Consider the following 16,459-nt stretch of genomic DNA (forward strand, 5'->3'; position numbering starts at 1 on the left):
AAGGCAGCCCAGGACTCATACCCGTGGTATCTCATATCAGAAATGAAACTTGGCTTTGGAACTAAGCTCCAAAGGTGATGATCAAGACTCTCATCCTTCAATTTCTCCTATTCTCTCCCACTTCAGGATTGGGACGCAGGTAGAAGCTGAAGAAGGCTAAGACAGAAGTTTGAGCAAAAACCAATGATTAGAATTCATATTCCTGAAAGCAAAAGGAAAAGAGAAGAAATGTGCTCTTATAAAAAGAGCATTGATTAGGGAGTAACAGTTGCAGATTTTATTTGTAGCTTTGGCATCTACTACCTGGATTAAGTAGGCAAGACACTCCACCCTGCCGACCTCGGATTCTTCTCCTGTGACATGAGAGTCTCTGGCTTCACCTTGAAAGTAACTCTGATACAGGCTGAATATCCCTTGTCTCAAATGCTCCAGATCAGAAGTGTTTCAGGCTTTAGATTCTTTCAGATTTAGGAATATCTGCATATACATAATATGCAAAGATAGGACCCAAGTATAAATACAAAATTTACTTAGGTTTTATATACACCCTATACACATAGCATGAAGGCAATGTCAAACAATGTTTTTAATAATTTTGTGCATGAAAAAAAGTTTGTGTTAAAGCCCTTATGTGTGGAATTTTCTACTTATGGTACCGTACTGGCACTCAAAAATTTTGAATTTTGGAGCATTTTGGATTTTAGATTTTCAGATTGGGAATGCCCAACCTCCAATAACATTCTACTATTCCTGTAGTCTTGTGAGATGGAGAGATTGTAAGGAAGGGAAGAGATGGGCAGGAAGAACATAGGGACAGAGGTGGGGCTTCAGAATAAATAGAGTAATTGACAGACAGCACAAAGAACACTTGAAAAAGAGAGACCAAAAGAGCATCCAAAGGATAAAATAGTTCAGAATCAGAGAAATAGTTTGTGTTAGTTGAACTTGCATCTAGATAAGACCAGAGCCAACCTCAAAGAGAGCCCAGTGCTGGCAGAAGAAGAGAGAGTAGAAAGAGAAGACAGGGCTGCTTGTCTGTCCTCCCACCTGCTCTGGGCCCCAGAACTCCTCCCATCTCTCTGCAAGGCAGGCAGGCAGGCAGGCTGAGACTCCGGCTAGTTGTGGAGGAAGGATCTACCCAAGTCTCGTGGCTTTCTAAGAAGACAAGCTTTGATCTATAAAAAGTTAAGTACTATGATTTGAATGAGCATGCGCCAAGCCTTCTGAATCAGTGACTAGAAAGAGCTTGCATTTAATGTAAATTTAGAATAACAAAGCAGGGTGGAATGCTGGGTGGGGTGGGGACAGGCAGAGAGAGAATGAATATAAATTATCTCTGGAGGTAGGAGTTGATTGTGGGAAAGCTGAGACTCTAAGTTCAGAGGGCAGGAAGGACGAGGAGACAGAAACTCCCAAGGGTGCAGAGTGGCCTCCTGATGTCCGTGGGCTGGACCGTCAGTGATCCTGCCTGCCCCAGGCCTGGCAGGACTGGCTATGACTTGCTGCTGGAGGGAAGCTTGGTAGGATTTATGAGATGAGCTAGTGAGATGTTCTTGGCAAGCCGAAACTATAAATGTACAATACTTTATCTCCTGCAGGAATGTTTTATGAAAAGGAAAGATGGGAAATGTCTACATAAAATAGAGCTCCAGCCACTGGTCAAGGAGAGTGGCCTCTCTCTGGAGCCACATCAAAGGCACAGCTCTGTCTGCACCCTGTGGCCTCTGCAGAGCCTTCTCTGGGAGCTCAGAAGTTTACTGAGAGCCAAGCAGAGAAGGGAGCACACCCACTGCCAGTGCTCTTCTAGGATTGTCAAGAGGAAGAGGAGCAGGGTCTGCTGGGGAAACTGCTGTTGCCCCTTCCAGCTCCCTGGAAACTTCTTCACCATCCAGAGTGCTTCAGTGGGGCTGAAGCCTGATAGAGCTTTGTAGTAGGAGCTCTAAACAAGAAGTCAGGCAATTGACCTAGAGTCTGTAACTAGATAGCCACAGGGCTTGGAGAATGTCACTTTCCTCCCCAAGTTCATTTTCTTAGAAAATGAGACAATTAAAGATGAATGAATGGTATTCTAACAGTCTTCTCCAGGAACCATGAAAAGGCAGAACTGGCTTTTGAATTTCAAGGGAAGAAAAAGTAATCTCTTGAGCAGGAGGATAATATTTAGAATTAGATGCAAGTCCCATCCCTACTAAGTTACCCCTAACTGCCTACACTCCAGTGAATAAGACCAGCCAAGATGAAATAAGAAACATAAGCAAAACACTTTGGGGCTGATAGAGGAGGTTTGTTTCACGTGAACTTCAATGTCATCTTCTTGGAGTCTCTGAGAAGCTGCAACCTAATCTTAACTTTCCTGAAGATGCTGCAACTTCATCCCAGGCATTTTGGTTTTTCTTTCTGCTTCTTCCTTGGGGACACTTCACTGAAAATAAAGTGCCCACAGCAGGGCTGATGAGCTCATGCAGAGACTTTGCGTAAATTAGAAAAAAGGTAACCCCATGCCAGGGCAAACAGCTTCGGCAGTGTTGTGCAGAACGGATTTCAGCCCTCATTTGATTTATTTAGCTAGATGCTCCCATACAACCTGCACGAACTACACATCTGTAGCTGAAGTGCAAGGGGGCATAGGGTAGTTGCTCAAAATCTACATGTCAATAATAATAGTGCGTTACTACATGCCATACATCAGTTTTCCGGGGAAGCAGACTCAGAGTTGAACATGTGAATTGACAGGAACACTCCCAACCTCAACACCTACAGGAGAGGAAAAGAAGCAACACTGAACAGAGGGAGAAGCTGAACCACAATGCAGCTGCAGCAAAGACCTCAACCCACCCTGTAGGGAGCTCTACAAGCGAGATGGTCCTTCTGAGTTGTTTAGAATTTGATAAGGCTGGGCTTTTATACGTCCTGTGTAGACCAGTTGCAGATACGGACCGTAGTTAATTCTTACCATTTTATGTTGCCTTGGCATACATTTTGAATATAGGTTTGACTTTCTCATACCAGCAACAGGGCTTTGTCACCCTTGACTCGGTTTCTACTTCTCCGCCTCCTCTCAGTTCATTCTTCAGTGTAATCGAACCAGATATCTGCCTTATACGACTGCCTCCTGGTGACCACTGCCCCATAGGACAGCTAGATACAACCTACTTGACTCACCCCCATATTGCATATGGAATGTGCAGATATGCCACAGTGACCTTCTCTCAGTCACAGTGTGAATCTACAGAACTCATGCCTGCTTGCTATAAACTCACCAATTAGAGCTTCCCCCCGGAAACCTACTTGGGTAACACCCTGCACCCCAGTGAAAGCTTTGGCCTACAGGTCCTTTTGTCCCTCTTGCTCCCCACTGACTGGTTAAGTGCAGGTGTCCTGGATGCCTCCAACATCCTGTTGGCTTTGCAGCATGCTGTCTTCTCTCTGGGGTCTGTGAGTAATTAACTGCTTCTGCTATGCCATGGGTTTTGTTGTGCTGCCTCCTCTGTGTCTCACCTGGACCTAACTCTCCTCCTGGGCAAGGCTCTCCTAGAGAGGGGCTGTCTTGGTAGAAATAAACTGGACATAGGTCAGACAAGAGCCACAAGGGCATCTGCCAGTATAAACAAGTTTCCTGGGAGAGGAAACTTCAGGGTTAGACACTTAGGCATTAGGCTGTCATCCAGGATGAAAAAGTATTCCATGAAAGGCACATTGTCAACATCCACAGCCACCTCCTTTGGAGCTCCATCAAAGCAGGGCTAGAATTTACAGTCACTCTCTAGAGAGAGACCTCAAGTCCAAAATAAGGAAAATAAAACATGGGCTATCCTTGGGAGGGAGGCATGGCTTTGGGGGAAAAAAGGCCTAAAAGGCAAGGGCAAGTGCTGAAGAGTAGTCAGCAAACATTTGTAGCATCTAGGGGAACACAAGCTTTGATTAAGGTGGCTCTGATGCATCCACTGCACTGTGTTAATTCCTTCGCAGTTTAACAGGCATGATCTGTGCAGATATCTTCTCATTTGCCCTTCCAGATAGACTCTCTACCTTTCTCCACTCTGCTTCCTTCTCTGGGAGGCTGACTTGTGTGGATTACATCAGCAGGCTCTCATGCCCTTCAATTCCCTCTTGTGTTTGGTCAATAGAGCCCTGGGAGAAGATGAGAGGGAGAGAAGAAGAGTGAGGGTCAGGGTGCTTAATTCCTTCACTCCCTCTCTGCAAAGTCACCTTGGTTTGGATGCCTCCTCCAGTTGAAGGTCAAGGGCTTTTACCCAAAATTCTCTCTGCAGACCACTGAATCTCTTCTTCCAAGTGCTGGTGACTGCTCCCTCTCCTCACCCTTCTAGCCTCAGCGCTGTAACAGGCCTCCCTCGCCTCCACCCCTCCATGTTACTAATACTGGGCTGCTGCTTTATCTGTGTGATTTCTCCAAACTCTGCCCACACCTTTGTAAAGAGTCCTTTAGTAAGCCCTCTTCGAGTTATCCTAATTTGGTTTCTCTGAGTACCCAGATAAATACTTTCAGACGTACTTTGTCTCATGTTTTCCTCTCTACCACCCTGAGAATCAGATATTCTTATCCCCACTTTAGAGATAAAGAAACAGGCTCAGAGATGTTATGTGACTTGCCCAAGGTCCTTGTTAGGGAGATGGTCCTCGTCAGCTGACTTAGGTCTATCGTCTACCTCACTGTAACACCCGAGTGTTTCCCTGAGATTATTCCCTTTTCCCACCACAGCTCAGAGAGGGGCCAGCAGAAGAAGGGACCATTGTGGTATTTGAGACCACAGAACATTCTAAAATTTCACATGAGGATGAAAGTGGTACATAGAACACCGAGGAGTGTGTATTTCATTTCAGTCCTGGAGCTGGGAGAAAAGGATGGGAGAGTCCACTTTCTGATTCATACCCTATTCAGCCTTCTGGAAAACTTAAGTTTCTTTTCCAAATTCCCTTTCTCAATTAGAAAATTAAGCTATTTCAGAATCCAGGTCTGTCCCAATCTGCTGCCTGACCCTAAGGAGGTCACATGACCTTTAGGTCTTTGGTTTCTTAGTCTGCACAAAGTAAGACGAATTAACCATATGAACCCCAAGCCTCCTTCCATCCTGTGTGTCTATAAGCTCCTTGTTCTCTTTGCTTCCTTTATCCTAAAGACAGACAACAGTCATGTGGTTAAACCCTCATACCAACGATTGTTAGTCTCATCTCTGGGAAAAAGAGGAAGGAGCTCAGATGATGCTGTACACAAAGACTCACTTGTTAGCTGTAAAGAGCCCTTCTCAAGGTCTTTTTCAGCCCTTGCTTTTAACCAGGGTAGCAGTTAAGTCCAATGAGAAAGTAAAGGTCAGGCTTTAATACCTAGGTGAAGAGTTGCTAAGTGATGGGTTTATAGGCGCAGCAAGCCACCATGGTACACGTTTACCTATGTAACAAACCTGCACATCCTGCACATGGACCCTAGAACTTTAAAATAAAATAAAATAATAATAATTTCTAAAAACAGAAAGTAAAGATACTGGTTTAGTTTGCACTGCTCCTGAAGCCCCTATGTATGGCAAATTCCTTGACTCTCAATCCCATTTGGGGTGGAGTCTCTCTATCTTCTTGGTCAAATGCAGATAGATCCTCCTTGTATGAAATATCTTTTGTCCTGGTTTACTTACATTTCCCTACATTATTGACAAATCATGGGGCCCAGGAACCAGCTAAGAATGAGACATTCCACTCTGGTGCTGCCACCAATCCAAAGAGCTTTCACTCAGGGAAGCGCCTGCACAAGACAGGAAGAAGAAAATGCTTCTGCATCCCTTTCTACGCTCCTACTCCTCAACTTTGGATTAAGAATTAGGGACCCTGAATTCTAGTCCTAATACACCCATTAACTTTGGGCAAGTCACTTCCATTCTCTAGACCTCTTTTCATTATCCATTAAAACGAGTAATTGAATAGCATTATCCTTTCTAGTTCTAACTTCCTATGAACCTATAAGGATGAGTATGTTTGGGGTAGATTGATTTGGATAGATGGCATCTTTACATGGGTTCCCCAGAAAACAGGATCTGAGGAGAGACTTAAGTGTTAACAGTTTACTTATAGGTGCAATCCTAGGGCAGCAAGAGAAGGGATAAAGGACATAGGACAAGAAAGATTGAGAAGCCGCAGTGGTGTCTTATCAAAGAAGCCCAAAGTGTCACTCAATCCCACTGGACATCTTTGCACAAGTTGTACAGAAAAAAAAAAAAATACCATTGGAGAGAAGAAAAATCAGGAATTTATCTGCAGACACCTTCCCATTTCCTCTCTCCCATTGGTCAAAGTTTGATCATTGGGGAGTTATTTTTTCTGTTGTTCTGGGCTGTGTCATCTGAACCCTTCAAAAGTAACTGGGAAAGTGAGATCCTTCAACCAGAAATGTAAGGCTATGTAAACCAAAAATAAAATTCTAAGGCCCCCCAACCAACTGAATGGACTTCCTCATCAGCCAGGGCACCCTTAAAATTTAACCTGAAAGACAGGTGCAGGTCATGATGGGAAGAGGGTGCCAGACATGTCTCCTTATACCTCTCCAGCGTAATATCAACACAGATTTTAAGTCTGATAAGAAACATTTACAAGCTGTTCTCTCTGAAGCCTGCTACCTGAAGGCTTCCTCTGCACAATAAGAACCTTGGTCTCCACAATCTTTTATCTTAACCCAGACATTTCCTTTCTATTGATCCCAAGTCTTCAGATAAACTTTACCAATTGTCAATCAGAACATTTTAAAATCTACCTATAACCTGAAAGCACCTCCCCCACCCCCCCACCCCCCACCCTCTCACCACGCTTCAAGTTGTCCTGCCTTTCTGGACCAAACCAATGTATTTCTTAAATGTATTTTGTTGTGGGAAGTCAGGGACCCTGAACGGAGGGACCAGCTGGAGCCGAGGGAGAAGAACATAAATTGTGAAGATTTCATGGACATTTATCAGTTCCCAAAATTAATACTTTTATAATTTCTTACGCCTGTCTTTACTGCAGTCTCTGAACATAAATTGTGAAGATTTCATGGACATTTATCACTTCCCCAATTAATACTCTTATAATTTCTTATGCCTGTCTTTACTTTAATCTCTTAATCCTGTTATCTTCGTAAACTGAGAATGTACGTCACCTCAGGACCACTATTGTAAAAACTGATTGTAAAATAAAAGTGACTGTAAAACTGATTGTAAACTGATTGTGTGTTTGAACAATATGAAATCAGTGCACCCTGAAAAAGAACAGAGTAACAGCGATTTTCAGGGAATGAGAGAAGATAACCATAAGGTCTGACTGCCTGCAGGGTCAGGCACAATACAGCCATATTTTTCTTCTTGCAGGGAGCCTATAAACAGACATGCGAGTAGGAGAAATATTGCTGAATTCTTTTCCCAGCAAGGAATATTAATAATTGAGACCCTGGGGAAGGAATGCATTCCTGGGGGTAGGTCTATAGACAGCCACTCTGGGAGTGTCTGTCTTATGCAGTTGAGGTAAGGACTGAAATACGCCCTGGTCTCCTGCAGTACCCTCAGGCTTACTAGAATTGGGAAATTCCAGCCTGGTAAATTCTAGTCACACCAGTTGTCTGCTCTCAAATCCTGTTTCCTGTTAAGATGTTTATCAAGACAACACATGCACAGCGGGACACAGACCCTCATCAGTAATTCTAATTTTGCCTTGTCTTGTGATCTTTATTGCCCTTTGAAGCATGTGATTTTTGTGACTTACTCCCTGTTTGTACACCCCCTCCCCTTTTAAAATCCCTAATAAAAACTTGCTGGTTTTGCAGCTTGGGGTCACCATCATGGTCCTACCAATATGTGATGACACCCCTGGAGGCCCAGCTGTAAAATTTCTCTCTTTGTACTCCTTCTCTTTATTTCTCAGACTGGCCGACACTTAGGGAAAATAGAAAGAACCTATGTTGAAATATTGGGGGCTGGTTCCCCCAATAGTATTTGATTGAACTCTCATGTCTTCCTAAACTGTATAAAACCAAGCTGCACCCCAACCACCTTGGGTACATGTTCTCAGGATCTCCTGAGGCTGTGGCTGTGTCACGGGCCATGGTCACTCATATTTGGCTCAGAATAAATCTCTTCAAATATTTTACAGAGTTTGACTCTTTTTGTCAAAAGCTACATCCAACCTGGAAGAGGTGGGAAGAGCCAGGGAGCTCAGCAATCGATTGATCTGCCTCCTAGAGTGGAATTGTGCCAAATCACCCAGAGCCTGTCCTCCTAGCAGAGGGAGGCCGCTAAGTGTTGGGGAGATGCTGAAGCTGAACAAAGCTAAGGAGACACAGACATTGTGCATGGCTAGACCTGGATAGAATGGAAAGGTGTACCAGAGGACAGCTCAGGCTCCTTCATTCAACAAATGTCTCCTGAGAAATTTGGATACAGAGATCCAACAACTTTTCCTGCCCTCAGGCAGCACACCCTCTACTAGGGAGACAGGCTTAGAAAAAGGCAATTACAGCAAGATAACCATGACACAGATCATTGTGGATGATTCTACTTAGCTCCCTGATTTACTTATAGGAAAATGAAACTCAGACTTGACCAGTTTCATTCAGGAGATCTATGGGGAACAAGACCTAGAAAGCCCAGGCTGTTAATTTGCAAGTCAAGGCTTCCTTTACTGCCCCTCTTCTAAAGGCACAAAAGTGCTTTAGAGCCAGCTGTTCTAAAACAAGAGTAGATTTAAAAGATCCAACAGCATCAGGCCACATTGCTCAACTCTGCATACATTTGCCTGCAGATCAAAATGATGTGACATTAACTGGAAGGGTAGGGTGGTGGTGGGGGTGGTTAAGATGGAGAGAGTGGTATCAGGGAACTCTTTTTGAAGACAACCTATTTGCTAAATGGAGCCAAGAAGGATCAGTTTAATTGAAGTTAAAGATATTTCAAGGAAGGTAAGAGCCTACCGGGGGGTTCAGCCAAGGGGCTTCCTTCTGCCTTTGAAAATGAGAAGAGTTGAACAAGATCTGTATGGATGAGCTGATAAAAAGCCCTTTGAAGTGGACAGGGATCTTTTTATAGCCTCAGAATAACTTAGCCCTGGGTGAGGGAAGAGAGCTGCTCTCATTTACAGGCATGAAGGGTGGTGAGCTGTCTCCCTCCAATTGGATTTCTTCTGGCTTGGCCGCGAAGAAAGTGAGATTGGCCTGGTGTCCTGGTCTATCAGAGAGAAGATAAATCTGGCAGTCCTTCACACAAGAAATGACCCAAGGGAAGGCCCTAGAATGCTGGTTAACAGACATTAGGAAGAAAGGCACAGAACGTAGACTCACAGCTCCCCCACACCACCCCCAGCTCATGTGCCATCAAGCCCACTAAATAAGTCATGGGTTAATCCTTAAAAAAAAAAATTAAGGAGAGTTCTTGCAGACTTGTTGTCAAGAAACAAGTGCAATAAAAATTATTCTTGTAGATTGTTTACTGTATGTGTCAGATGCTGTGCAGGCAATAGTTCATTTATTCCTCTTAACAACCCTAGGACGTAGGTATTATTTTTATTTTCATTCTACATTCCAGAAGACTGCAGTTTATTTATGTGTGAGCAAGTTGAAGCAACTTGTTCAAGCTGAGTACATCACAGGCCAGAAGCTAGATAGATAAAACTGTTAGATAAATGCTGAGGTAGCATGAAGTTACCTTCGATTACAAACCTCATGAAGTAAAGTCCCACTCCCACATTGTCAGTGCTCACTTCTTTTGGCTGAACGACTGAAAAACATGTTCTAACCTTCCACTCACCAAACAGTTAAGCATCTCCTTTTGGACATGGGAACACTTGGCCATAGTTTAAGACTCAGCTTTCCTCAGACTCTTGTACAAGAGCTCTGTGCAAGACCCTGAATTGCCTTACATTTGAAGAGAAAGGGAAAACTTAAAGAAAAGGAACTGGCTGGACACAGTGGCTCACGCCTGTATTCCCAGCACTCTGGGAGGCTGAGGCAGGTGGATCGCCTGAGGTCAGGAGTTTGAGACCAGCCTGACCAACAAGGTGAAACCCCTGCTCTACTAAAAATACAAAAATTAGCTGGGCGTGGTGTCAGGCACCTGTAATCCCAGCTACTCGGGAGGCTGACACAGGAGAATTGCTTGAACCTGGGAGGCGGAGGTTGCAGTGAGCTGAGATCATGCCACTGCACTCAAGCCTAGGTGACAGAGCAAGACTCTGTCCCAAAAAACAAAACAAAACAAAACAAAACCAAACCGTATGCCCCTGAAGAAGAGATGCCTCGGGTTGTAGCCTAACTGAGAAGTTACTCACCACCACTCTTCATTTCTGTAGAAGATATAAATAGGGAATTTGGACCCAAATTATGGTAGAATTTAAATTTGCCTTTAATTTAAGTGCTTTTTCATGATCACAGGCTTTATAACTTCCCAAACCTGCACATATTTCTGTGAATATATCAAAATCTTGATATCCAAAGCTACGAAAAAGAAAAGGCAAAAAATTCAGGATACTTTGAGTTTAATATCAATTCAATTCAATTCCACCAAAATCTACCTGTATAACCTTTTACAGGTACTCTACCTACTCTCTGAACTTCAGTTTTTCCATCCATAAAATTAAAGGGTTAGACACAGCTGATCTCTAACATGTCTTCTGTTACTCTCATTCTAAGTCTTTGATGACAATCCTTGCCTTACATTCCTCATAGAAGTTTCAGTGAAAAAAAAAAACAAAAAACAAAAAAAAATTGGTAAAAGAATAAGAAAAGAAATGGACAAGAAGTACGGGCACTAAAATCATCTCTGAAAGGGAAAATCAATGAAGTTTTGTGCTATACACACACAAGAAACTGTGTCATCAGTAAGCTATTCTTCCTAGCATCCTTGAGACATCATAAAGGCAAATGAAACACTAAAATTCCATGATAAAGAAACTTCTTCCATTCTCTTTGTGGATGGAGGCTTGACTCTCAGGGCCTACAAAGATTTCCTCCTGTCTGCTAGACAGACAAGAGTTCAAAGCACCCTAGACCTCCAAGCTTCTGCCTGCAGGGTCTCTACCTCTGATCCCTCCCACCTGACCCCTTTCCCTACTATGGAAACCCCAAACAAAGAGCATTGGAAGAAAAAACCTTGGTAATAGAATTTCAGGACACATTAGAGCTGAACAAGACTTTAGAGATCTTTTTTACAAATAAAGTTCTGGGCATAGGGCATGTAGTAATTGGCCTGGCTCTAGCTAGGAAATAAATTGCTATCATCATTTTATTCTCTGAAGGAGACAATCCCAGGTTAGTATTTCAAAGAAGAAAGAAGTCACTGGAGAGGTTTAAAAGTACAAGCTAATTATTTCTTTCAAGAAAAACCTTAACTCTAGGAGAAAGAAGTTATATGCAGCATCATTAAGATGAAAGGGCCGAGTTACCTGGGCAGCCTCAGGAAGCCCAGGAATAACAAGAGTGCCCCTTGTCTTGCTGAGCAGATATCCCTACCGAGGCTCTTCCACAGATGTTATCTCACTGACCCTGAATCCCTTTCTTCCTACCTTGCCACAATGTGAGGAGGAGGCCAAGAGAAGATGGTGTATTAGTCCATTCTAGCATTGCCGTAAAGAAATATCTGAGATTGGCTGGGCGCGGTGGCTCACACCTGTAATCCCATCACTTTGGGAGGCCGAGGCCGGCAGATCACGAGGTCAAGAGATGGAGAACATCCTGGCCAACATGGTGAAACCCTGTCTCTACTAAAAAAAAAAAAAAATACACAAATTAGCTGGGCATGGTGGCACGTACCTATAGTCCCAGCTACTCGGGAGGCTGAGGTAGGAGAATAGCTTGAACCCAGGAAGCGGAGGGTGCAGTGAGTCTAGATCGCTCCACTGCACTCCAGCCTGGTGACACAGCGAGATTCTGTCTCAAAAATAATAATAATAATAATAATAATAATAATAATAATAAAAGAGATATCTGAGATTGGGTAATTTATAAAGAAAAGGGGAGAAAGAGGTTTAATTGGCTCACAGTTCTGCAGGTTGTACAGGAAGCATGATGACGGCATCTGCTTGGCTTCGGGGAGGCCTTGGGAAACTTTCAATCATAGCGGAAGGTGAAGGGGAAGCAGGCACATCTTGCATGGCTGGAGCAGGAAGAAGTGGGGGGAGGGGCTATACACTTTTACACAACCAGATCTCAGGAGAACTCACTCATTAGACAGAACAAAGAGGGGATGAGTACTAAACCATCCATGAGAACTTCACCCCTATGATCCAATCACCTCCCACCAAGTCCTACTTCCAACATTGGAGATTACAATTCAACATAAGATTTAGGTGGGGACACAGATCCAAACCATATCAATAAGTCAATGTTAAGAAGAGATGTGGGTCTTTTCGTTTTGAGTCAACATTTGGAGAGCTGCTTAGAATCCTAGAATCAGAGCTGTCCAAGCTGGGAGCTATCGGCCACCTTCTCCAGTCTCTGTGTTTGTAAGTTTGGGGTGGGGTTAAAAACTTTCCTGTGTGTTTCATGATGAAGAAGAGAATGAAAAAGGAGGAGGAAGAGATGGAGGAAAGAGAAGGAAGAAACAAGAGGAAGAGTTGATAGAGGAGGTGGAGGAGGAGGTATGAGGATAAAGGGGAAAAGGAGGAGGAACAGGAGAAAGAAAAGAGAAGTTTTCAGATTTCTGAAAGTCACCCAAAACAGGTTTTGTTTTTGAAGGTCCAGGTTAACTGAAACATTTCCAGACTATCTGTGGAAGACGAGGAGATGGGATCAGCTGTCCAGGAGGAAGAGAACACTGGCCCAGTTACAGAGAGGAAACAATGGGATTTTCCATAACTGGGATGAAAAATTAGGGGCAAGTTCTAGGAGGGCATGAACCTGTGCCTTTACTCAAAGGCTGCATCCCAAATGAACCTCAGATAGGGCTCCTGCATGATTGGCCAGGGACTAAGTATTACATACTGCGTCTTTGAGAGCTGGGACAAGGTCCTACAGCCAAATTTGGTATCTGAAAAATTAAATTTAAATTTGTCATGTAGACCTGTCTAGGGGGTATCTTCAGAATAATTCCTAAAAGATGGTTGATCAGAGAACTTTCCCATATTTTCTGGCATAATGTAAGAGAAAATGCAACCTTTAAAATAAAAGGGAAGACAGGCACAATAAAATGGACTTTATCTATCCTGGGAGATGGGATGTGGATTTTGTTGGAGGTACAAGAATGTTATTATAAGAATAAATTTAGCAAAAGAATAAAGGCAATTCCCACTCCATACCTCAAGTACTGTAGAGCAACTCACACCTGTTATATCAGCATCCTCTGTCTCAGGCACCTCCTCCACTCCAAGTTCAGTCCCTTTTCTTTGAGCTCATCTGTCCTCCTTCTAGGTTTGCATCCACTGTCTTCTCTTCTAGGTCTTACTTTCTCCCAAATATTTTGCTTCCTGACAAAGGACACCACTGGATAGAAAGGTGGTTCATTGGCAGTGGTACTTCTTCAGCATCAGTGCTGAGCACTTGCTGGGTGGTAGATTATTTTCACTGGGAGCTTGCCATCTTGAGGATGCCTCACCCCCACTTTAATGACCACTGGCTTCTCAGCTGATTGGTAAGGCTAGCTTAGACTGTTTGGCCACTTTTATTTCCATGATTCTGGTCTCTTCAACAAAACCATGAGTTCCCCTGGGACACAGGCTGTGCCTTTGGCTTGTTTTGCCCCTGAAGGAGCTTAGGCAGGTGAAGCCAACTGGCCCAAGGACGCCGTGACCCTGGATGCTGCCCAAACCCAAAGGAGGAGCAGCTTTCTTCCTAGGGTCCCCTCGTTCCTTTCCATGTGTAAGAACACAGGCTACTAGTGAATCCATGAGTAGTCCAGAATATCTGAATGGGAACCAATGGTTTAAATTTTCTGCTAAAGGGCTAATGTCCTAAAAGCTTGACCTTGCATATGGTTCTCTTACACTTATTTCCCATCATTTTATCCTTGTCTGGTTATACCCCTGGGGGTGGGGGGGAAACACCATGCCAGGGTTGGAATGCCTGTATTCTAACTCTGCTGATTAACTGGATGTATGGCCCTGAGTAGGCCTCTTCACCAGGGAGGACCTCCCTTTCCTCCCCTCTAAGCCAAAGAAACTGGACCCAAGCTATCTACACATCACCTAACTCTTCTGGGATGTTCTGAGGCCCTCGCCCGTGTGCACAGGAATCAGAAGAGTCCAGATGCACACAGCCATCAATCGGCCCTGGAGGGGCACAAAAGGAGAAGCCAAAAGAAACAAGTGGGACTTTCAGCTGAGCTTCAAATAGGAAGACTGTCGGCTCACCCAGGCTGAGGATGAAAAGCATTCCACGGAGCTGAGGCAGTGCAGGGACAGGGTTCACACTCCCCAAGGGCTCTGAGCAATGAGGAAGAGGGACTGAGAAGACAGAGAGACCTCCATTCCAGGTCAGGCCCAAAATCTGGCCTGGTAGGAGCTGGAGACAAATGGGAGGAGGGAGTGCTTCCCCTTGAAGAACATGACCAGGAGGGCAAGCCACCCAGGCCTCCTCCTATCAGGAGAGAGAATGAATGCAGGATGTGGTGAGGAACAAGGCTGACCTCTTCAATAAATCTTGAGATGCCTAGAAACTGAAATCCCACCCTGACTTCTATGGTTACTAAAGTCTGAGAGTAATCAAGGTCTGCATAGCAACAGCAAGCAGTTCTCTCATCAACACACTTTCCCTCTAGCACACACACTGCCACCACCTCCACCACCACAGCTAACTCTACAAATGTTTTGACTCCCTCCTGCTTGCAAACTCAGCTGAGAAATTTGGAGTAGAAAGCAAGAAAACAGATGTGGCATCCAAGCTGAGTTTCTCATGAGTAAATAGATTCCATATGGTAGAGGAATGTCAAGGAGAAAGAAATTTTTATGAGGACCAAAAAGAAAGGAATAGGTGTGGAGTGCCTCTCATCTTACCAAGATGGAGTATTCTGGTTCTGAAGTGGAGCTCCATACCTGGTCCTGAGGAAGTGAAAAATCCCAGGTCATGGCTAAAGTGACCACAGCCCTCCACAAAGAGCAAGGAGTCCCAGTCTTGGTCCTGCCAGTGTGGCTGCCTCACTGTGGAAAAGTCTTTCCTTTGACTCTGAGTCTCAACATTTTCATCTGTAAGGTGGAAATAAGAATTCTCTGATGAAAATTAGATTCAATAAAAAAATAGATGCTGTATTTGAAGGTGTTTTATAGATCTGGGAAGGCAGGAATTATAATGTCTGGACCAAGGTCAGAGATATGGGAGTCTTCAGTGTGGAGATGCAAATGGAAGCCATGGGAGTCAACAGAAAAGCAAGAAGAGCAAGTCATGGGAACACCAATGGTCCAGTGGTGGGCAGAGAATGAGGTGCTGGAAATGAAGGCCAAGAAGAAAGGACTGAGAAATGGGAGAGCGGTCAAAAACTGAAGAAAGATGATTTGAGAAAGTAATCATTGTGTCAAGTAGATTTCTTAAGAAGTCAAGGTGTAGTCTTCTTGCTTCCTATGTCTCCCCAAAAGCAGAGTGAGGATCAGGCAGAGGAGAGAAAATGACCATTCAAGGAGGGAAGATGTATGATTTGGAAAATCAATGTTTATTTTTTGACATTTGCTGTGAGTCTGGAGCGAACCAAGGGGCTTATTCATTCCTCCCTGTTGATGAGCTTTGTGATACTAGGCATCTTGTACAACTTCTCTGTGCTATCAGCCAATATTCAACCAAGTCCTTAGTGGCTTCAGTTCAGCAGGTGTGGACTGTGGATCTAGTTAGTCTTGGGCAACTGACTCCAGAAGGGAATATGAGCCTGATGTAGGGGTGGCACACACCACAGTTAACTAGAGATAGGATCTCTTTTTCTCAAAGCCTGGCCTGCCTTGGAACCAGATGAGGATCTAGAAGTTCTTTTTAAAAGAACCACACCTGCCACCCAAAAATCTTTCAGTCCAATGACACCCAACACAAATGCACTTCAACAGCAAACATTTGTAGAAAATTATATGTGTGTACATTACTGGGCTGAGCCCTGAGTGAATGAGGAGGATAAGGACTCAAAGACAACTAAGGCACTGAGACATGGAACCCTGCTCTCCACCTTGTAGAGATGACAAAGTCTTACATAGTAACCACCAGCCAGACTGTGCTAAGTGTCACAACAGAAATATAAACAAAACACAATAAGAACCCAGGTGGAAGTCATTAATCCTGCACCTAGGTGATCAGGAAAGTTTTACAGAGAAGGCGTCATCTGAATTGGGTCCTGACCGCTAAGAAGGATTTGATATTCTGAGGAGGGGAAAATGTATTCCAAGCTCTGTGAACAGCACGAGCAAAGTTTTGGCACCAGGAAAATGGCATTTCGTTCAGAGATGAAATTGATGGTTTGGGCCTCCAGTCTGTATACCATGCAGAGTCAAGAAATGTTTTTGAGAAAGGGAGCAGTACAATTGGTTCTTC

The 16,459-nt window shown here is 44.0% G+C and overlaps 1 long non-coding RNA gene across 12 annotated transcripts in view, besides 1 other annotated feature; it reads right to left on the reverse strand.

Moving 5' to 3' along the window:
- Positions 1-16,459, reverse strand: part of DIRC3 (disrupted in renal carcinoma 3) — a 506,425-nt gene that overhangs the window by 270,088 nt on the left and 219,878 nt on the right. For 2 of the 12 annotated variants that reach the window (NR_186299.1, NR_186300.1), the window contains 2 exons: positions 12,002-12,116; positions 11,527-11,724 (listed from right to left, as the gene is read on the reverse strand). The exons of the other annotated variants lie outside the window; for them this stretch is intronic. This is a non-coding gene — a long non-coding RNA (disrupted in renal carcinoma 3). The remainder of the gene's footprint in view (positions 1-11,526; positions 11,725-12,001; positions 12,117-16,459) is intronic. 12 annotated transcript variants of the gene reach the window in all.
- Positions 967-1,567: an enhancer, noted in NCBI's record as "OCT4-NANOG-H3K27ac hESC enhancer chr2:218419796-218420396 (GRCh37/hg19 assembly coordinates)". NCBI's record gives its function as "activates a minimal SCP1, AML or CMV promoter by ChIP-STARR-seq in naive H9 embryonic stem cells {active_cell/tissue: H9 hESC(naive)}" and the evidence as "EXISTENCE:reporter gene assay evidence [ECO:0000049][PMID:30033119]".

The sequence above is a fragment of the Homo sapiens genome, chromosome 2 (assembly GCF_000001405.40).
Source record: "Homo sapiens chromosome 2, GRCh38.p14 Primary Assembly".
Lineage (NCBI taxonomy): Eukaryota > Metazoa > Chordata > Mammalia > Primates > Hominidae > Homo > Homo sapiens.